This window comes from Homo sapiens, chromosome 13 (assembly GCF_000001405.40).
Source record: "Homo sapiens chromosome 13, GRCh38.p14 Primary Assembly".
Classification (NCBI taxonomy): Eukaryota; Metazoa; Chordata; class Mammalia; order Primates; family Hominidae; genus Homo; species Homo sapiens.
The window spans coordinates 56,280,472-56,304,888 of NC_000013.11; the positions used below are offsets into that span (position 1 = coordinate 56,280,472).

Here is a 24,417-nt window from a genome sequence, read left to right on the forward strand (position 1 = left end):
TTTCTCATAAATGCTAGATATTAGCTTTATCCTATAGTTACTGAAGCTTATTATTATGGTACCATACAGTTTCAATCTTAAGTGAATGCTCTCATTCCGTTGTGAACTATCCTACAGCAAGATATTTTTTAACCAGCTCTACAATAAAACAGAAAAATAAGGACTTTTATGCTAAGACTAATAATCTAAGTTGAATTACATTGCTAAATATAAATTTTAAATATTGTGTTATGTTCAGTGTTATAAATGCTAATGCATTAAACAATTCCATATAGATTAAAATTTTTATATAAATAATCTCTAGTATTCTGCTTGTAATTTGATTTACTTTTTTAAACGTTTGTTTTTTCAAAATAAATATGATAGCCTTTCTAAAATTATTTATCTAATACACTCACTCTAAATACTTGAATTAACTGTAAATGCATATTCCCATATTTGTTTGAAAGATATTAATTTTTTGTTTATAAAATTGACAATTTTTACAATCTGTATTATTATTGTAGTGTCTTTCTTTTTTATTATAAACATACTATTATAATTAAACTGACATTCAATTTTAACATATGAAAGTATAAGGGGTGATTTTCATTACAGATTATATAAAAATTTAATTATATTTAAAAGTGAATTTCAGATATTAAAAGTAAGGCAGAGAGACAGGTCTTATTCATGTTGCTAATATTTCTATATTGACATTTCTTGTTAGTGCACCTGATGGTATGATCACTGGTCTTGGACAAGTTCGTGGATGCCAGGAGATGCTGTATGAGCAGAAGCAAATTTGTGAGGGATGATTGTTTCAATTTTGAGATGTTTACCTTGTGAGGTGTCTTATATACAAAGGCAATGAACAATTTCAGACTGTCACTCAAGATATATAAAAGCTTAAAGATTCATGTTGGCATGTTAGTAAGAAATAAAGGAAGATACATGTATGTGGTCATCCAGTATAAGCGTAGAGAGTTAACGGAGATGAGAACCTTGAACAAAGTGCAAGAAGAGCTTGAAATAATGACCGAAACAGAATAATCACAGACATAGGAGGAAAAGTTGCATTGTTTCCTGTAGGTCAGGGAAAGCAAGAGCTTTAAGCCTTGAGTAACTGCATTATCAGAGTGCTATTAAGTGACCACATATCATAACAATGAACAAAATAGAGGGGAGAACAAATAAAATGTTGAGGGACATGAGATTCATATAAAGATATTTACTGATTTAAATCTCTTTTAGCAAGAAATGTCTTAGTGTTAAAACATTTTTCATGTTTTGTGGGGTGATAATCCAGATGCAAGAGCCTGAATGATTGTCAGCTGGATTCCTAGATTTAAGGAAGCAAGTGAAGGTATTCACCTTGAAGCATACTGGTAGATTATATTTTGACTCTGGAGAAGGAGGGAAATTGAGAAGGCAAACATTGGGCAAAAATTGGAATACCAATGATAGAGGAACAGAAAACAAAAGCACAGTTAGTTGATTATGTCTTTAGTTAAGAAGGCCTTTAGAGAACACAAACATCCAACAATGCTTAGTGGTCAATCTGGACTGTGCAATTTTTTTTAATGCTTATTATAGTTATTGTGCAAAAGCATTCTTACAAAGGCTGATTATTTTTCTTAGAGAAATGATCATAATAATCTGCATCCCAATTGCGAGGTCTATCATAACTTCTTTTCCTCAGAAAGTACTTATGGCAATGTGTAAATTAGTGGTTGCAATCCCAGGATAAAGAAGGGGCAGCAGAATGGGCATACTACAAGTGGCAGCAATTCCAATGTCTCTCGGTCATCATGACATTATCTTAGCTAGTAGAATACTTTTTTGCTTGCTTTCCACTGTCCTGAGTAGACCATAGTGGACAGATGATGCTCACTTCCAGGATCTCCAATGAGGAAGAGGCTAAGATTGTATGGACTAGACACATACATTTTCAAATGTTTCACTGCCAGAGATGGTAAGAGATGCCTTTCTTCCTTTTACCCTTTGTTTCCTGGATCCATATATTCTAGCTAATGGAGCTACTGTATCATTTATCACATCCTGGAAAACGTTACCCCAATCTTACATGTTGCTGACCTTGAGCAAGAGTCTTACTTGAATCTTAAACAGATTGCTCCCAAATTTAATCAGGCCGATTTTTAGTAAAAGGGGTTGTATGCTGCACAATGTATAAATCCCAAGATCATGAGCCAATTATGCTCACTTTGCAGACATAAAATACATCCTTTGGTCTAAAACAATGTTATAGGCAATACCATGAGTATTAAAAAGGCTTTCTGTAAGTCTTTAGATCATAGTGTTGGCTGGGGCGCTTTGGATAAGTAAGCAAACTCATTTATGGAATATATAGATTCCTGAAGATCGAAGGTTCAAATATAATTCCTTTGCCAAAGCGGGACCAACCGTTATTCCCAAGCAATGATGCTGACATCTAATTGTTGATGTATGGTGCTGGAAAATTGCGCACACAGGAGTGGAAGTAGCAAGAAAAGCTGTGGTAAAAGGCTAGCCCATGCAGTTGGGCAGATAAGCAACCTTTATCCTTGTCACTATAGACTATACATGGGACTACACAAGCACTGAAGATGTCTGGAGATATACTAAATTATATTCACTTATCTACCTGCTTGTTGAGAGACATCCTTTTGATGAATAATCACCAGTAAAAATTAACATGAGATGCAAATATGTATTCTAATTACCTCTGTCCATTGGTCTATCTGTATACTTCATCCTCAGGTCTCCTTATCACTGAATTTTTCATCTTATTCCAGTCTGGACTCGGACAAACTGGCCCGGGCATTTGCCACTTCCAAGGTATTAGGGAATAACCACAGTTGAGACAAATTATTTCTTCATATGGAATAGAAAACTAAATGTATTGCTTGTAGGTCTGTCCGCTGGGAGAATTTCTCTTTATCAATTTGGGATAAGAGTTGTAATGCACCAACAATTTATTTCTGGCTAATATCTCAGTAGGCTGGCATTCCCTCCCCAGGGAACTGATTTATAGCTCTATGAGAGTTCTTTTTAGAATTTATGAGGCTCTAGAAACACTTAGACAATATTTCTTTTATGAAATCTGGATTCCTTTCTTCAAGGGCCTGAACTATCAGTAATAACCTGGCATCAATCACTTATTAGAGATTTGGGTCAAAGCTCAACAGGGACCGCTCCTCCACACTGTTTAATACAATTAAAGGTAACATCTTAATTTTGTTCCCCTGCTCTGAATGTGGTAGCTACTTCTACACGTTCTCTTCTGTATCTGAGTGTTTTCTTCTGGCCTTTCAACCTTCTAACACTTGTTTAGCATGTAATTTTTTTCTGAGTTAGAAATATTGTTAAGACCTATCTTTTGACAGGGGCCTCGCCAGTAAGTTAATTAATACCGTAAGTAGGCTCAGAAAACAGATCCTCAATGAAGAATTTTCAGATGGGTTTAAACATCTTGCCAATGGCAAATAGAAGGCTTATTATCCTTGATATACAGAAGCATCATCATTAATCAAATTATTACCTATTTTTGACTATGATTAAGTACTTATGAAGCAAATACCTTGGGAGATCAAATTTCTATTCACTTATATGAAGAAAAAATTAATTACAAAGTTTATCAAATGAGTAAATGTTTTAAAATGCCCTGACATACTTATATAAATAAAATGACAAGTTCAGATTTTTAATTTCTTAACTCTAATTGTGGTATAAAATAAGAGATATTCTAAGATGGCCTTAAAAGCATCTCTTATATACTATAGAAACAAATCAAACTTGATGAAAATCAGACATAAAATATAATCATACTGTTTTCAGAAATACAATGTCAGTTGAGTTAACAACCATGTACAATTTTCAATGCAAAATTTAGGATATTTGAGAAAGAGTGAAATTCTGAAATTTGGAGTGGGGGTATTCATGTGGACCCAGAAAATGATGGAAAGGGGCCTTTGCTACCCATTGGTGACACTGAGACTAAATCTGGTTGCAGTTTGAGAGGCAATGAAGCTGGATAGAAGGGATATGTCTTGCAGAGTCCAATCTTCATTTTGAAATAAATTTTAGGTCATTGTTTTATTTTAAAAAAGGTCAAATTGGTGCTTCTGCTAGGTCTGAGGTTTCAAAAAATATTTATTTATTTTTGAACTTTACATGTTTTTTTCAGTTTGTATTTCCTACTTTTTCTAACTTTTTTTAAGGTTCAGGGGGATACACATGCAGGTTTGTTACATGGGTAAATTTCATGTAGCAGCATTTGGTATACAGATTATTTTGTCAGCTAGGTAATGAACGTAGTACCCAATGAGTGGTTTTTTGATCCTAACCCTCCTCCCACCCTCAACTCTCAAGAAAGCCCCCATGTGTATAGTTCCCAATTCTGGGATTGCTGTGTCAAATGACAGTTCCATTTAAATTCTTTGAGAAATCTTCAAACTATTTTCCACAGTGCCTAAACTAATTTATATTCCCACCCACAGTGTATATGTTCCCTTTTCTTCACAACCTCATTCATATCTTTTTTCTTTTTTTTTTCTTTTTGACGTTTTAATGATAGCCCTTCTGACTGGTGTGAGATAGTATCTTTGTGTGGTTTTAATTTGCATTTCTCTCTAATGAATAGTGATGTGGAGCATTTTTTTAAATATGTTTCTTGGCCACATGTATGTCTTTTTTTGAAAAGTGACCATGTCCTTTACACATTTTTTAATGTGGTTGTTTGGTTTTTTGCTTGTTAATTTGTTTAAGTTGCTTATAGATTCTGGATATAAAATCTTCGTCAGATGCATAATTTGCAAATATTTTCTACCATTTTGTAGGTTGTCTGCTTACTCTGTTGATAATTTCTCCCACTGTGCAGAAGCTACTTAGTTTCATTAGGTCTGATTTGTCATTTTTTTGTTTCTGTTGCAATTGCTTTCCTTTGACATTAAATCACTGCCAAGGCCAGTAGCCAGAATGGTATTTTGTAAGTTTTCTTCTGGAGTATTTTTTTATAGTTTTGGGTTTTACATTTAAGTCTTTGATTCATTTCATGTTGATTTTTGTATATGATGCAAGGTAGGGGTCCAGTTTCAATCTTTTGCATATGGCTAGCTAGTTATCCCAGTACCATTTATTGAATAAGGAGGCCTTTACCCATTTCTTGTTATTGTTAACTTTGTCAAAGATCAGATGGATGTATGGGCAAGACTTAAGTTCTGGGTTCTCTAACCTGTTCCATTGGTCTATGTGTCTGTTTTTGTACCAGTGCCATACTGTCTTGGTTACTATATCCCTGTAGTATTGTTTGAAGTTGGCTAGTATGATGCCTCTGACTTTGTTCATTTTGTTTTGGACTACAATGGCTATTTGGAGTCTTTTTTGGTTCTATATGAATATTAGAATAGTCTTGTTTCTAATTCTGTGAAAAATGTTATTGGTAATTTGATAAGAATAACATTGAATCTGTCGATTGCTTTGAGCAGTATGGACATTTTAATGATACTGATTCTTCCTATACATGAGCATGGAATTTTTTTTTCATTTGTTTGTATTATCTCTGATTTCTTTGAGCAGTGTTTTGTAATTCTCATTGCAGGGATCCTTCACCTCTCTGCTTAGCTGTACTCCTAGGTATTTAATTCTTTCATGGCTATTGTGAATGGGGTAGCACTCATGATTTGGCTCTCAGCTTGGACATTATTGGTATATGGAAATGCTACAGACTTTTAAATAATGATTTTGTATGCTGAAAGTTTGCTGCAGTTGTTTATCAGTTCTAGGGTTCCGTGGGCAGAGACTCTCGGGTTTTCTAGGTATAGAATCATATTGAATATGAAAATAGATGGTTTGACTTCTTCTCGTCCTATCTGCATATCTTTTCTTTCTTTCTTACCTGATTTTTCTGGCTAGAACTTCCTGTACTATGTTAAATAGAATTGTGAAAGTGGGCATCCTTGTCATGTTCCAGTTCTCAAGGAGAATGCTTTCAGCTACTGCCTGTTCGGTATGATGCTGGCTGTGGGTTTGTCATAGATGGTTCTTATTATTTTGAGGTGTGTTTGTTTGATGCCAAGTTTGTTGAGGTTTTTCAACATGAAAGGGTGTTGAATTTTATCAGAACCTTTTTCTACATCTATTGAGATGATACTATGGTTTTTGTTTTTAGTGATGTTTATTTGATGAATCACATTTATGATTTTCTTACGTTAAACCCACCTTGCATCCCAGGAATAAAGCCCACTTGATTGTGATGCCTTAGCATTTTGATTTGCTGCTAGATTTGGTTTGCTAGTATTTTGCTGAGGAGTTTTCCATCTATGTTCATCTGGGATATTGTGCTGAACTTTTCTTTTTGCATCATGTCTCTGTCATGTCTCAGTGTCAGAATGGTTCTGGCCTTATAGAATGAGTTAGAGAGGAGTCTCTCTTCCTCAGTTTTTTGGAATAGTTAAGGTAGGATTGATATCAGCTCTTGTTTTATACATCTGGTTCAATTTGGCTATGAATCCATCTGGTCCAGGGCTTTTTCTGGTTGGTAGGTTTTTACTACTGAATCATTTTTGGAACCCATTATTTATCTGTTCAGGATTTCAAACTCTTCCTGGTTCAATCTTGGGACGTTGCATGTTTCCAGGAATTTATCCATTCCTTCCAGGTTTTCTAGTGTGTGTGCATAGAATTGTTTGTAATTATCTTTGGTTTTTGTTTTTTTTGTACTTTTATGTGATGAGTGATAATGTCCCCTTTGTCATTTCTTATTGTGTTTATTTGGATCTTGTCTTTTTTTTTTATTAATCTAGCTAGCTGTTTAGCAATCTTGTTTACTCTTTCAAATAACAAACTTTTATTTTGCTGTTCTTTTGTATGGTTTGTTGCATCTCAGTTTCATTCAGTTTGGCTCTCATTTGGGTTATTTCTTTTCTGCTGCTTTGGAATTGGTTTTCTCTTGTTTTTCCAGTTCCTGTAGGTGTGATGTTAGATTGTTAAGTTGAGATCTTTCTAACTTTTTGATGTGGGCGTTTAGCACGGTAAACTTTTTCTAACACTGCCTTAGCTGTTTCCCAGAGATGCTGGTATATTGTATCGTTGTTTTTATTAGCTTTAAATAATTTATTGATTTCTGCCTTAATTTCATTATTTACCCAAATGTCATTCAAAAACAGGTTGTTCAATATCCATGTAACTGTATGACTTTGAGAGACCTTCTTTGTTTTGATTCTGTTTTTATTGTGCCATGGTCTGAGATTGTGGTTGGTATAATTTCAGTTTTTCTGAGTTTTTTTGGGAATTCCTTTATGCCTGAGCATGTTGTCTATTTTAGAGTATGTGCTATATGAGGATAAAAAAATGTATATTCTGTTTTGGTTGGGTGAAGTGTTCTGTAGTTCCATTTTGTCAAGGGTTGAATTTAGGTCACAAATATCTTCATTAGTTTTCTGCCTCAATGATCTTATACTGTCAGTGGAGTGTAATGTCTCTCACTCTTATTATGTGGACCATTTATGTCTCTTTACATTTGTCTAAGAACTTGTTTTTTGAACCTGGCTGTTCCCATGTTGGGTGCATCTATATTTAGGATAGTTAAATTTTGTTGAACCAAACTCTTTATCATTGTGTAATGCTCTTCTTTGTCCTTTTTGATCATTGTTGGTTTAAAGTCTGTTTTGTCAGAAATAAAAATATCAGCCCTGCTCTTTTTTTGCTTTTCCTTTGCTTCATAAATTTTTCTTCATCCCTTTACTTACTTTGAGGGTATAGGTCTCACTGAATGTGAGCTGGGTCTCTTGTAGACAGCATATAGTTGGGTCTTGCTTCTTTAACCAACTTGCTTCTCTGTGCCTTTTAAGTGGGAACATTAAGCCCATTTACATTCAAGGTTAATATTGATATGTGGGATGTGATCCAATCATCATGTTGTTAGATGATTGTTATGTAGACCTGATTGTGTAGTTGCTTTATAATGTCAACGGTTTATGTATTAACTGTGTTGTTTTGGCAACTGGTAATTGTCTTTCTTTTCCATGTTTAGCACTCCCTTAAAGACCTCTTACAAGGCAGGTCTGGCGGTAACAAATTCCCTTAGCATTTGCTTGGGTGAAGGTGATTTTATTTCTCATTTGCTTACAAGCTTAATTTGGTTGAAGATGAAATTCTTCATTAGAATTTCTTTTCTTTAAAGATGCTGAATATAGGCCCTCAATCTCTTGTGGCTTCTCAGGTTTATGCTGAAAGGCCCACTGTTAGCCTGATGGGGTTTCCTTTGCTGGTGACCACCCCTTCTCTCTAACTGCCTTTAATATTTGTTTTTCTTTTTCTTTGACTTTGGATAATCTGATGACTATGTGTCTTGGGGATGATTGTCTTACATAGTATCTTGCAGGAATTCTCTGAATTTCCTAAATTTTAATGTTGACCTTTCTAGTGTGGTTGGGGAAGTTTTTATGGACAATATCCTCAAATGTGTTTTCCAAGTTGCTTGCTCTCTCTCCCTCTCTTTCCAGGATGTCAATGAGTTATAGGTTTTGTCCCTTTTTATAATCTCATAATCTATTTACAAAACTTGGAGATTTTGTTCATTCTTTTATGTTCTTTCTTCTTAATTTTCTCCTTCCTCTTCTTCTTCTTTGTCGTCATTGTTGTCTAAGTTGATTTGAAGAATTACTGTTTGAGTGCTGAGATTCTTTCTTTAGCTTGATATATTGTGCTGTTAACACTTTCAATTGTATTATAAAATTATTGTAGTGAGTTTTACAGCTCTATCAGGTCAGGTTGGTTGTTTCTTAAAGTTCCTATTTAATTGTTTAGCTCTTGTATCATTTTACTGGATTCCACAGATTTCTTGTATTGGCTTTCAACTTTTCTCTTGAATTTTCGTGATCTTCATTGCCATGTGGATTGTGAATTTTATGTCTGTCATTCCCGCAATTTTGGTCTGATTAAGAGCCATTGCTGGGGAGCTAGTGCAGTCATTTGGAGGTAAGAAGCTATTCTGGCTTTCAGGGTTGCCAGAGTTCTTGCATCGGATGTCTCTCATCTGTGTGGGTTGATATTGCTTTAATGTTTGAGGTTGCTGTCCTTTGGATGGGAATTTTCACTTTTATATTCTTTAAATCACTTGAGACTTTGACTGTGGTATAAATTGGGGTCAGACAACTGGCCTCATTTCTGGAAGTTTTCACGGAGCCAACACTCAGATCAGTACTCCTAGGCTGCATGCTCTAACACTGCTGGGGGCAGTGAGGGCAGTCAGGTAGGGCAAGGGCAGGGTTGAATTTGGGCCCAAGGCTTTCTTCTCTGGTTCCTCAAGATTAAGTGTATCCTGTGCTGGAATGGCTGAGCTATAAACAGACTTTGTTGTCATGGCAAATCTGTAAGAAATCTCAAGTTTCAAGTGTCTGGCCTATCCAGGCAAAGCCATGAGTCAAGCTCAGGAGAAACCTAGACATCAGCTCCAGATTTGGGTCTCATATGGACAGTTTACTTAAGGGGATGATTGTCTTACATAGTATTCTACGTGGATTATTTACAAATAGATTATTGCCCAAGAGGGTGAAAGTTTACATAAAAGAAGATCAAATACTGAATTAAAATAAATAGTCACAGTTTTCAGCAAGATAAAGGCAGAAGAAACAACTAAGACTAAAATAAGTCACATAGGCAAGGGCAGGGAGAGGTAGCTATCAACGTAAGGGAGGAGTTTAGACAAGGAATGGCTAACCACACAGACTGAGCAGTGATCAAATCCCTGAGGATAGTTTGAGTTCACCAACTGAAAAGTCCTTGGCAATCTTAGAGAGCTCTAGATGATTTAGGCATAAACCAAACTTCAGTGGATGGAGAATTAATAGAAAATGCATAGAGATACTGATTAAGAAACAATTGCTAAAACATGGAAGAAGAAAGAGAAAGGAAGAACTCAAAAAAATTTTATTCTTGTCAGCCAGGCACAGGGGCTCCTGCCTGTAATCCCAGCAATTTGGGAGGCCAAGGTGAGGGGATCACCTGAGGCCAGGAGTTTCAGATCAGCCTGACCAACATGGCGAAACCCCATCTCTACTAAAAATACAAAAATTAGCCAGGCATGGTGCTTGGCACTTGTAATCCCAGCTACTTGGGAGGCTGAGGCATGAGAATTGCTTGAACCCAGGAGGCAGAGGTTGCAGTAGGCTGAGATCATGACATTGCACTCCAGCCTGGATGACAGAGTGAGACTCTGTCCAAAAAAAAAAAAATTATGCTTGTCTAACCAATTGTCTTCAATCCAGAGACCTAACTTGAAGGGAAGACCTATTAAAGCTGGATATGCTGTGTACATTATAGTTTCTCATGCTTATAATCAGATGCTGAGGCTGATTTTCAGCATAATATTTTCTGTCCCTGCTAAGAAAAATACTATTTTTAAAGATGCCAAAGAGGCCCTGTTTGTTTGTTGAGTGCATGCTTTGATAATTAAATTGGGTATATATAATATTATTATTTATTAAAATATCCCAAATGAGTTTTTCTATACCATGATCTTTATAAATAGTGCTAACCATTTTCTTACTATGCACCACATGTAGTTGAACTCCTATCTCCTTGCCACCCATTTGCACCTTATTAAAATTAACCATACCTTAATTAACTGTGATGCCATCAATGTCAATAATTATTTCCAGCCCACCTACCATAATCTGTTTTATAGAGATACTATTGATATATACTATCTTGGCTCAGGCTCATTAGAAACATAGCCTGATGGAATATATATGTGCTAATGCTTAATGTAATATGATTCCAGTGCAGCAAGAACTATGGAAAAGCACAGTGATGCATAAAGGACAAATTATAAACATGTTGTGTATTGCCAACTACTCACTGTTTCATGAGGTAAGAAGAGACATGTCCCATTGCTTGGTCATGTGAGATGTCTTGGGCAATCTGTACCGAGAGTCCATGTCCCAGAATTGTCTATTGAAGAGATAAAAGGAAAAAGATTAATCTCCCAGTTCTCTCTTATCTGTTGTTTCCCACTGTTCATAATTTGCCTGACAGCCAACTCTCCACAACTTAAGAATTTTTTGTCCCCTGTTGGAAGTTGCTGGAGAAGCCAGATCAGACATGTTATATCATAGTGCTATATCTAATTATAAAATATATGTGAGAAGCTAAATTTTTTTAGTCAATTTTTATTGGTTTAGCCCCAGGAACAATGGGTATTATGGAGAACATGCAAGAACCATATCAATAGAATCTGTGACAATCCCGTTATTATTAACAGATAAGACTTTGGTGGTTCTAGTGGCTTCAACAAGAACAATCATAACCAGATGCCTAAAAAGACAGACAAAATTGAGGTAATATGAGACAATGCTAATAATTTATCTCTTAAAAAGTATTTTATGATATTTTTGATATGAATTAAAATAAATATCTTCAAAACTGAACCATAATCTTATGACTCATACAGGAGGATTCCCTCACTATGAATAAAAAAATTCAAAACAGAATATAACAAAATTTATGGATTTGGCAATAGCAATGCTTACAGGAAAATGTGTAGCTATATGTATACACCTACATTAAAAAGCCAAACCAGGAATAAAAGTGATTAGTTGCCAATTTTGATAAAATAAAAGTGATTCTTAAAGAACACTATCAATAATTACATACCAATAAATTATATAACCTAGATGAAGCTGACAAATTATTAGAAAGACACACATGATTGAAACTGACTCAAAGAGAATGAGATAATGTGAATAGAACTATAAAAAGTAGAGACTGAGTAGTTAAAAACATTCCACAAAAAGACCAACTGGCTTCACTGGTAAATTCTACCAAGCCTTCAAAGAAATAATACCACTCTTTCATAAACTGTTTTAGAAATCAATGATGTGCAGCCATTGATGGAAGTGTTCTGGAATTTGAAAATTAGATATCTTTCCTATTTTTAGGCAGGTGCTTATCTATTCTCTCTGTAATCGTAGTGAAGAAAACTCAATGAGATACCATTTACACAGAAAAATAACTAACTTCATATGTAATTTTATATACTTATATAACTGAAATTGGCAATATGATACCTATGTGGAATAGTATAGGACCGTATTTAAGCTTTTTAATACATTTTATTATCTTTTCTTTTGAAAACTCACTAAGTTGTAAAGCTGAGACATTTTGGTAACTACAAAATTGCTCAGCTTTCTTACACATCTAAGAATAATCAAAGATTGTGCCTTAAATTAATTTTAGTTTTGTTATATGTGAAGCACGCTGCTTTGCTACGATGTAGATAAATCTTCTGTGATACGGATTTAGCTGATTTATCTCTTCTGGGTGGGTTTTCTTTTATTTTCTTAAATTTTTTCTTATCTTTTGTTTTTTTTTTCTTTTTGAGACAGAGTCTCATTCTGTTACCCAGCCTGGAGATCTTCTTTTCAATGACAATATAAAAAAATTATGAGATGGTATCCATCCGTGTACCCTGATGATGATTCATAATGCTATGCTTTCCCTATGATTATCTCTTTTGATTTAGAGACAGATATAATGTTTTACTTACAAATTCTTAAATGACTACAAATACAATTTATATAGCCCTTAACTTGACAAAATATACTTAAGCTAAAATATTGAGAGAAAAATTTGGAGTTATTAATGAAAAACACATTGTACTATGCCCTTATTGAACACTTTCTAAGGCATATGTATATATATATTTTTTATTTTTTATTTTTTTTGAGACAGAGTCTCACTGTGTTGCCCAGGCTGGAGTGCAGTGCCACTATCTTGACTCGCTATAACCTCCAACCTCTGGTCAAGCGATTCTCGTGCCTCAGCTTCCCAAGTAATTGGGATTACAGGCATACACCACCACACCCAGCTAATTTTTGTATTTTTTAGTAGAGATCGGTTTCACTATGGTGACCAGTCTGGTCTCGAAGTCCTTACCTCAGGTGATCCACTCACCTTGGCCTCCCAAATTGCTGAGATTACAGGCATGAGCCACTGCGCCCAGCCTAAGGTGATATATTTTTAAATGAATCCTGTTTAACGCATTTTATAGGAAGCAGCATTAGGTGTAAATGATCAACCTTTTCTGATGCACATTCTTATATTCAGATTTTATCCTAAAATCCACTACAAAATGATAGACTAATATCCCACTGTAATCATGATGAATCCTACATACTTTAAAAATGTACAGGATACTATTCAATAAATTAAAATATCTTCTTTTAATTACACGTGCTTTTGTACAGGAAAAAACAACCAGAGTTTTGACAATGTCCACATATTTTTAAGTTACTTTATTTTCAATCCATAGTTAAAATTATTATTTTTCAACATTACCCTAAGCCAGATTTTAAACACACAAAGAAAAACATAAAAAAAGAAACAAAAATATTCCTCAGTCTGTCCTATTCCTGTGCTGTGGCTACGAACTGATGGCTCACTCTATTTCATAATCAATTTCCTATCACAGTGTTTTGATTACTTATGTCTTAACCCATTATAGTTTATTGGAATATTAATGCAGTTTCAATAGCTATTTTTCATGATATGATAGCCTAAATATACGATTCCACTTTCTGTTAGATGCTGTTTATCAAAACTTCCAAGCACAGTGATTATGGGCTTTCTATTCAAATAATTGATTATACCAATAAGCTAAAAATGCTAAGATTTGCTGACTTCACTCAAAACATGACAATAATAACTAACACATAGTTATAATAATAGTAACAACTCTTGCTGTGAGGATTAAATGAGGAAACTTATGTGCATTGCCTGAACTAAAATAAACAATAAATATTACTTATTAATTAATAGCTATTAATAAAACATGTTACTACTCTCTGAATCTTTAGTTTTTAAGATTCATGTAGAAATTTTGTTGCACTTGGCTCATTTTTTTCCAAAGCTAGATATGACTAAACAATTTGATAATCAAAGTAGGAATAGAGCCAGCTTAAGTGCTTTCAATCCTAGACCTGATTGTCAGGTCCCTACACAGTGTAAGAAAAGATCAGTGAAAATTCAGGGAGAAGAAAAGGAGAAACCACATCTGTGTGCTCCATCTTTCACTATTTTGAAAGTGTTACCTCCTAGGAATAAATATAGTTTAAAACAAACTATGCTATGGATTTATATTAGGTTCTGAAATGTTCTGACTATTCCCCCATGGCCATATAGATGTAGAATAAGAAAGTGAATTGTCAGTGGTAATATTTGACTCTAATTGAATATTCCAAGATTGTTCTTTTCTAAACTTAGTTTTTGTGGTTAAGGGATAAAAGTGTCAGGTTGGCAAGTAATACCTTAGATTTAACATTTTACCCAGATTTCTCTCAGTCTTTTAGAAATCTTTAAATGAAACGAAACCTAATTGCCTAGAACCAAAGCCAAGGTCTGTTGGCACAATATAATAAGAAAATCCATACATGATTTCCAGTTGCTTTATTTTGAAGAAAAATTGTATTTTCTTCTATCGTTTAGCTTTCTCCTACATAGTGTTACACCTTTACATACCTCTGAGTCTTATGCAAGGTTAATGTAGACTATAGGCTGTATTAAATAATTAGAATGTATATAAATTTAGAGCTCAGCTTAGATCAATCTTACAAAATTATGCCATCCATATTTGTAGTGACAATCATAGAATTTAGTAGAATAAAATATTTTAGTAATAATACATGTGTTGAAAATATTTGTAGGAATGCATATTTGTTTATAAAATGTCAGGAATTATTTTTCAAGTGTGTCGTGTAAAATAGGTGGCAAGTCTATTGGTAACTTTTCTCTCTTGGAAGGTTGTATTTGCTCAAATGACAGCCGACTTATTATATAATGGAAATACAGCCACCACTTACTGATCATATTATTTATATGTTATGACAGTCATTTTGTTTCTTAGGAAATAAACTCTCCAAAATATTGAAAAAATATCCTGAATTCTCTCAACTCACTCTGAACATTATTTTGCACCTTTTGTAAAGGAGACATTATTTGCTTTAATAATTTTCTCTTAAATGTTGCTGATGAATTATTTCTCATTGTTTATTGCCTGTTAACATATAACTCAATAGCATAAAAATTCTAAATATACTTAACTTTCAACCCAGGATACAGTATTGTATGTATCAACAACATATTCAGAGTGTCTCTTCACAATTTAACCTATTTTTTATTTGGCACTGGTTCTATTAGTGCTTGAATTGTCTTTTCTTAATGTCTAGATGTAGTTGGCTATTAGGTTATGTTCACCTTCAGTAAAGTAACTAAAATGCAAGCTATTTTCCTGAAGAGTTTGATTTTAGTGTGATCATGCAAACATAGTTCCTAATCTCAGCTTCATTAAGTCATTGTTATGACTATTAAATATGCTCCATTTGGTAAAACAATGTACAAGACTCTAATTATATGGTTATTTCATTCATTTGTGATTTTACTGAATAGAACAGTATTATATAAATAATGACTTTATTGATGTACTTCTCTGTGAGACTACATAAAATAGTAAGAAAACCTCATGATACAGCACTATTGTGACTGCTGCTTCAATTCCAGCATCATGGTTCTCAACTTAGGTTCAACTACATTGAGCTTTACTTGTCTATAAGTCATCAATTTAATTGGTGTTGTGTGACAGTTTCTTTAGAATTAAAAAATGAACAAATAGATATTTTTGAAGCATACATACTATAATATTTATTTTACACATTACAGATTAATATATTTTAAAATTTTATATAAAAAATCTATAAATACAAAAATAGCCTGATCTTTAAGAAAATTTAATGTGGAATTATTGCACTAAGTTTTTTTTGGCTTAGCATAGGTGTATTATTTAACCCAGTTAACCTCGATATCTATGAACATTAAAGTTTATTTTAAAAGTAATGGTTAATTATAAACCATTTTCAGGAGAAAAATGAATGAACTTTATTAGCAGTGTAAATTTGTATTATTTAATAATTTCCATTTTTATTACAGATTAAAGGGTACAAGTGCAGGTTTGATATATGGGTAATTTGTGTGACACTGAGGCTTGGAGTCCCAGTGATCCCATTATCTAGGCAGTAAGCACAGTGCCCAACAGGTGATTCTTCAGCCCACAACCCCTCTCCTTCCCTCCCCTGTCTAGTTGTCCTGTCTATTGTTCCAATCTTTGTGTTCATGCACATTCAATATTTAGTTCCCACTTATAAGTGAGAACATACACTATTTGGTTTTGTGTTCTTGCATTAGTTCACTTAAGATAATGGCCTCCAGCTGCATCCATGTTGCTGTGAAGGACATGACTTCAATCCTTTTTATGGCTGTCTAGTATTTCGTGGTGTATATGTACCCCATTGTCTTTATTCAGTCAACTGTTGATGGGCACATAGGTAGACTCCATGTCTTTGCTACTGTAAATAGTGCTGCAATGAACAAACGAGTGCATGTGTTTTTTTGATAGAATATTTTCCTTTGGGTATATACCCAGCTGTGGGATTGCTATGTCAAATGGTAGTTCTACTTGAAGTTCTTTGTGAAATCTCCAAACTATTTTCTATAGTGGCTGAACTAATTTACATTCCCACCAACAGCCTCTCCAGCATCTGTTGCTTATTGGCTTTTTAACAGTTGCCATTATGACTGGTGTGAGAGGATATCTCATTGCATTTCTCTGATGATTAGCAATGTTGAGCATTTTTTCATATGTTTGTTGTTGATTTGTGCATCTTCTTTTGTGAAGTATCTGTTCATGTCATTTATGAGAAAATATTTATATCTTTATTGACAAATAAATACTTTTCTGAAAAATTATTTAAGCTCTTTCAATGGATACCATTATGAACATTTGTGATTTATGGGAAGGGGTCAAAATATCAACATTAACAAGAGTTTGAAAGAAGCTGATTCCAACCCTCATGGATGACTTTAAGGGTTTCGAGTCTTCAGTGGAGGAAGGGGCAGAGGAATGGATGAAATTACAAAAGAACTAGAGTTAGAAGTGAAGTCTGAAGAAGTGACTGCATTGCTGCAATCTCAATAAAGCTTAAATGGATGAGGATTTGCTTTTTATAGATAAGCAAAGAAAGTGGTTTCTTAAGATGGAATTTACTCTTGGTAAAGATGCTCTGAATACTGTTGAAACTACAACAAAGCATTTAGAATATTCCACAAACTTAATTAATAAAACATTCCAGTGTTTGAGAGGATTTGACTCCAATTTTGAAAGAAGTTTTACTATGGGTAAAATGCTGTCAAACAGCATCACATGCTAAAGTTAAATCTTTTGTGAGAGTCAATTGGTGCATTAAACTTCAGTGTTGTCTGATTTTAAAAACTGTCACACCTACCCCAAATATCAGCAACCACCAATCAGTCAGCAGACATCAATATCATAAAAGACCTTCCACCACACACACACACACAAAAATGACTGCCTGAAGTTTCAGAGGATTGTTAACATGTTTTAGCAATGAAGTGTTTTTAAATTAAAATATGTACTTTTTTGTAGACATATGCTATTGCACATTCAATAGGCTATAGTATCATATAACTTTTACATGCACTGGGAAGCCAAAAAAATTGTGACATTTTACTGTAATTATTTCTTTATGCAGTGGTGCAGAACCAATCCTGCAATATCTCTGAGGTATGCCAATGTGTGTGTGTGTGTGTGTGTGTGTGTGTGTGTGTGTATACATGCACATACATATATACACATTATCTTTTCATAATGACAAAAGATCCCTTAATTAATATAAATTTTGATTTTAAACTCATACCAGTACAGAAAAAAAATGAAATGCAATTAAAAATAATGTTGCTGATCACATCAAATATATATAAAATATAAATTAATATTTAAAATAAACATTTGTATTAAATTAAACCCAACACATATTTTGTCTGCTTTTCATATTGTTTTCTTTTTTCTGCTTCCCAAGAGCTTAAACTCTTCATTTGGTAATCTGTGTTGGAGTAAGTAATCACCTCCCCATTTATGGGTATATAGCACATCATACATGTTGACACTGTCCATAAATTCTATATTTTTAAGTAAGCTAGAAATACTTAGAGGAAAAAGGACCCTCTCCCTTAACTAACCTGCATATGAGTGCTGTAGGAATTTGAGGAAAATAAAGAGCCAGGTTTAGAACTACAACCAAAGAAGACAGGGCAGACCAAGGAATGAAAACCACACCTTGGTGACAATTTGTAGCTACTGGATTAAGTTCTGCCAAACACCAAAAAGTTATTGAGATTTTTCAATTATGAAAGTTAATAATATCAATTTTTTCATACACATAATTAAGTTGGGTCATCTAATAAGTAAAATATGATCTAATTGATATACTCTTGTCAAGGATGTAAATAAGACTATTAGTGTCAATATTAATTGTTATAACTTCACTAGAAGACGTTCTCTAAAATTTTTCGAAAGTTCTCAGAAAATTACACAAACGTTTCAATTCTAGGATTTATCTCAAAATTTAATTAGATATACATTCAAAATAATACGTACCCAGTTTATTTGTGATAATTTCATTTAAAGAAACAAGTGACTGATAATAGGGAATACGTTAAATATTTTTGCATCCTTGAAAAAAAGCACAGGTATCAAAAAATCATGTTGTATGCCCCTTTAGAACATGGAAACTGTCCACTGTATTTTATGTTAAAATGTTGATTACAGTACACAATATAAATATTTTGAGTTATAATCACTAGTGATAAGAGTAACATTTATTTTATTTTGTGATTTTAATGTAGTTCATATATTTTCTAAAATAAATATGAATATTTCTCTTGTCATAAAATATTATATGTATATAATTTATATGTGAATATATATATATGAAGTCTGCTGATAATGTTAATTAAGAAGATTTTCCTTATTAAAATTTGGAAAAGCTATGGATGCATTTCATATTAAGATCTCAATATCTAACATGACAGTATATCAAACTATAGCTGTAGCATCAGGCATAGGAGAGCTGGTGTAGCTGTTTCTCAGTTTTCAAATGAATAATAATAATAATAATATTAATAATAATAATAAAGCGTTATGCCTAAACCACAATGTACAAAATTGTTGGACAGTTTTATTGTAATCTAGAATGGCAATGGTATCAAAAGGACTAATATTCTAGGGGGCATAAATGCCCTAATTTCTGGATAGTAAAGTAGAATAGTGAGATAGTTCAGTGGGTAATAGTGTGTAGATTCCAGAAAGTTTTCTCAGTTTATATTGCAGAATACTAGGAGGACAATGTAGCTCTTCATATAGTTGTTTAAGGTAAAACAATTGTTCAATATCTGAGGCCAATGTAATTCCAGGAAAAGCCACACTCTCTCTGGGAATTTAGTGTTAAAACTTATAAAAAATATATGGGATGGAAGACACCTGAGTAAATAAGATCATTCAAGAACAGCTGCCAACTAACTTGAACTGTGGACTAATTTTTATTTAATAATATACATGATTTCCTGCCAGGTTCAACCTTCTTGATTCAGGCATTATATGTGGGTTACCTAGGTTGAATATGTAATTTATCTTACAAAGGAAAATACTTAGGCATGTGAAAGGGTGCTGATCAGACAAGAGGAGAACCTGCATAAATCAGGAAGGTTGCCAACACACTTGAAGGCTGTCACTGAAATGGTTAAGATGCCACAAGATTTCTTGCAGTATTTATGTTTGTAATCAAAAGATATTGCTGCTCAATGAAAGACGAGGCCTTCTCCTAAAATATTTTGTGTGCTTCTTAGTCATGGGCACAGAAAAGTGTGAGTTGAATAAATATTTGCTAAATCAATTAAGAAATAAATTGCAGAATGAATAATCTTAATTTGTCTCTAAACTTTCTGTTTTCAAAATTACTTTACAAAAATGCTTAAGGGAAACAAGAATTCCAAAGAAAGTATAACACTACAATTATAATTTAAAAGAAACTAGAGAAAAATGAGACAATGCTTTGCAATTTACACTTACATTAATTAACATTACTGAAAGATTAGGTATTCCATTTTATTCACATAAATAAAAAATAATTTAAATTATTACTAATACTAACATGAACTTAAAAAGGAAGGAATACTGATTTTAACATACTGTAATGTTTTGACATAAAATGTAGTGAAATTACTAATAATTTTCATCTTCATATTATATAAAAATAGAATTTTAAAATAATGTCATAACAGTTAATTCCTTTGAAATTAACTGTGAAATTAATCATAGTACTATCATTCTCATTAGTACCATACTTATTATAATTTACAAATACTATCCCATATTTGTTGAATATTTTATTAATTGATGTGATATGCCTATATAACTTTGCCCATTATCATAGAGCAGAGTGAAATGATACATTATTTGACCACAGTCATTATGCAGCACATGACTGTAATCTAATATTTGAATGTGGAATTTTTAAATTTTCACTTGAAAATGAAAAATATAGATTCCTTTTCCCTTTGGATATGTTCTATGGCAGTTCTATTTTTAGTTTTTTGAGGAACCTTGATACTGTTATCCATAGTGGGTGTATTAATTTACATTCCCATCCACAGTATACGAGGCTTCCCTTTTTCACACATACTTGCCAGCATTTGTTATTGCCTGTCATTTGGATAAAAGCCATTTTAACTGGGGTGATATGATATTGCATTGTAGTTTTGATTTCCATTTCTCTGGCAATCAGTGATGTTGAGCACTTTTTCATAAATCTGGTTGCCATTCACATTTTTTCTTTTGGGAAATATCTATTCCGACCTTTCACACATTTTTATTTGGATTATTAGATAATTTTACTATAGAATTGAGCTCCTTGTATATTCTGATTATCAGATGGATAGCTTGCAAACATTTTTTTTTCTCTATTCTGTGGGCTGTGCCTCCAGTTTCTTGATGTTTCCTTTGCTGTGCAGAAGCTTTTTAACTTGATGTGATCCCGTTTGTCCATTTTTGGTTTGGTTGTCTATGCTTGGGAGGTATTACTCAAGAAATCTTGCCCAGACCAGTGTGCTGGAGAGGTTCCCCAATGTTTTATTTTAGTAGCATGTAAATTCATTTGTATAACATTCTTTCCTAAATAGGACTAGTATAAGTAAAAACATTTTTCAAATAGTAATTACATAATATATTTTAATTTTTAAATTTTAGCTTCTCTCTTATTTTGAGTTATAGAGAACAGAAATGAAAATGTGCACATGCATTTAAATTACCTCCATTTCTATCATAATTTTAGAGAACCTCTGATTCCAGAGAGATTTTGCATGAGGAAGGAGGTATGGAAATTGAAAAGGGGGAAGTAACAGCCTTAGCTATCCATGATGCAGAAGTATATACTCATCAATTAGAAGACTAATACCTTAGAAACTTAAGCACAAAATCAGCAAGACCCTGTCAATGATTAACTAGCATAATACTATTCCATCTACCCTCCTATCTTCAGATTTAATACATGAGTTTAGAGAGTGATAAATGATTTCAGATACCACTAATTTAATTAAAAATGTGCACATAAATTTAAAAATATTTTAACTCTAAGTTATTTTGTTTTTTTCATTTAAACTTTTTGTTTGAGGGCCGGGTGTGGTGGCTCACGCCTGTAATCCCAGCACTTTGGGAGGCCTAGGCGGGCGGATCATGAGGTCAGGAAATTGAGACCATCCTGGCTAACACGGTGAAACCCCGTCTCTACTAAAAATACAAAAAAATTAGCCAGGCGTGGTGGTGGGCACCTGTAGTCCCAGCTACTCGGGAGGCTGAGGCTGGAGAATGGCGTGAACCTGAGAGGCGGAGCTTGCAGTGAGCCGAGATAGCGCCACTGCACTCCAGCCGGAGAGACAGAGAGAGACTCCGCCAAAAAAAAAAAAATTTTGTTTGAATATAAATCTTAGAAATATTATATTCATTACCTTAGGTAGTATTGCTTATTGTCCTGCCAGTTGGCAAACTCATAATGGAGAATGAAACTCTAATTGAGTGTCATTACGATCAGAGAAAAACAGTTGCTATTGTTTGTTCAAAAAAGGGGTGCAGACCAAGCACAGATCACCCATGTCCAATCAGTAGGACCATTTGCTGAAATGACTACCACTTTGTTCACTGTTTCTTTTATTGGGACCATCAGGATTTACTTTTTTTTTTTCTAACATGCCACCATTGTGTCTGTAAAGTTCATCTTGTTATATATAGTTGTTCTGATAACGCATGCTGAAGACCTCTAGCCAGAAATGTTTTTGACCCCCAACCAGAAATCATTTTCTCTCAGTTTAGCTTCTTTACCAAGGATGTTTGGCCACAAGTGGCAGCTATTTCTGTAAGATCGTATAAATTCTGGAATGATAGGATTGCTGTTTAGGAAACAGTTTTCAAGTATCATTTATAATCACACTTTTTATTTCTGAATGGTTTGGCTAGTCACTAATTGTGTATATGTTGAATAAAACTCTATATTTTAATAGAAATATGTAAGCTATTGGAGTTGGGGAAAACTGGGTACAGATATCATGCTATTTAGAAGGAAGTTCCTGTAGCATTCTAATAACACTTCTAGAGCTGTTATGAAGGTTAAGACATTTGCACTAAAATTGAAAGATGTTATAAAAGGCCTGGAAAAATAATAAGCTTAATGAAGGAATTAAGAAGTTTACAATTATTGGCCTGGCTCTCATCCCACCTCTTTGATAACTTGAACTTCAGTCACATCTTCCAATTGTGTTAATAGCCCTTCAGGCTGGAATAGCCCTTATCCCAGGGTACAACTGTGAAATCCTACTTTCTAATTAGCACTCTGCTCAATACTCCACATTGCTAATTTTCAGAGTAGCTGTCAATTGTTCCCCCTGTGATAAATCAGACTATTTTTATTCTCTCGTAATATGTAGAGATATTTTGTTATTTCAAATCAGTAAACATTGAATAGATTTACCCAGGACTTCCACATAACAGAAAACCATTTAAATTTTGTTTACTAAATACTGAAAAATAATATGGATATTATTATAATAAAATAATAGTTTAAATAGTTTAATAATTGGCATTTGTGTAATAACTATTATGGAAGACATTCTAAACACATCATTTATGTTAGTATACTCAATTATTACAACAAGCAGTAGGACATTATTTTCCATATTTTTCAGATGTAGGAAAGCAGAAATAAAGTTTTAATAATTTTCTGAAGTCACAGAGTTTGTAAGTGCTAGAGGGATGATTAAGACTTATAAACCATAGTCTTAGTTATTATATTACTATTAGATTTGTAATTTTAATTTTTTTATTTTGCTATCAAATTCTATGAATTTATTTTTGATAACTGAGAGCTAATGTGTTTTAATGCATTTTTTAAGCACGGTACCAGTTTATTTGTTTTAAATTGGCCAATATTATCGAGGAAAATATTCTGCTGTTATTGTAAAAACTCCTCAGAATACAAACTCTTGGTTCTGCCTACAGTTGTAAACTGTTTTATAATGATACAGTAATTTTCTAATTTTGAGAATCCTAGGCTATAATATTCTCTTTTAACTCCAGTCAGTTAATTTCTAAAGAAATGAAATACTCTCACGTTTGCTCTGGAACGGATCTAGTAGCATCCAACACTGATGAGTTTCAGAATAGCATTACCAAAGTTTAAATCAAGGGCGTCACCCATCACCCATATGTCAGGAGCTCAGATGAGCTTGGGGAGAGTTGAGCTGCTGGGTGTCAGAGTAGCTGAACACAGCAACAAGCCAAAAATGAAAAAGATAAGCCTTTAATCACTTGTTGCTATGGTATAAATAAGTGGCTAAAACCAGAGAAAACAGTCACTTCCCCTCCCTGACAACTTGAACCCCCTGCCATTGTCTTGCCTGGAATGTTGAGTCGTGGAGGACCAGGAGAAGCAGCAGAGACTTGGGGATTATTCCATAGTTTTATGGACCCTGGGGTTGGAGAATGGTGAGAGAGAAGGACTAAATGGAAAAGCAGTGGATATTGATCCAGAATGGGAGAGATATTTCAAAGTTTCCCCTTTCTTCCCACAAAAGGAAGTCTCCATCCTGTAAAGGTCTTCTGCATAAGGCTTCAGATCAAGAGACCAAACTAGGAATGAAGATACCAGGTCTAGGGAGCTTAAATCCTTGACTGCAACTGCCTCTAGAGACTGCAGTGCGCTGGCCGAGCACCAAGTCTTGCTGAAGGGAGAAGGCAGCTTTCCCCTTTGTTATTGCTTAACAATCACACATTTAAATTTAACCAGGAGCTGGACTCCTGTCCATAGTAATAACAGTAAAAATAACATATACTTATGTGTAGATCATTATATTCAAAATATTATTCTAAGACTTTATATTAACTCCTTTTAGTCCTATTTACAAATCTAAAAATGTGTTATTATTAATTCACCATTATTAATGAGGAAACTGAGAAACTTGCTGTAAAAAAAGTTACTTGCTCAA

General features: G+C 33.7%; 1 long non-coding RNA gene across 2 annotated transcripts in view; it reads right to left on the reverse strand.

Annotated features, from left to right (window-relative positions):
• Window positions 1-24,417, reverse strand: part of LOC105370214 (uncharacterized) — a 477,307-nt gene that overhangs the window by 22,156 nt on the left and 430,734 nt on the right. For both annotated transcript variants that reach the window (XR_941977.3, XR_941978.2), the window contains exon 4: window positions 10,841-10,932. This is a non-coding gene — a long non-coding RNA (uncharacterized LOC105370214). The remainder of the gene's footprint in view (window positions 1-10,840; window positions 10,933-24,417) is intronic.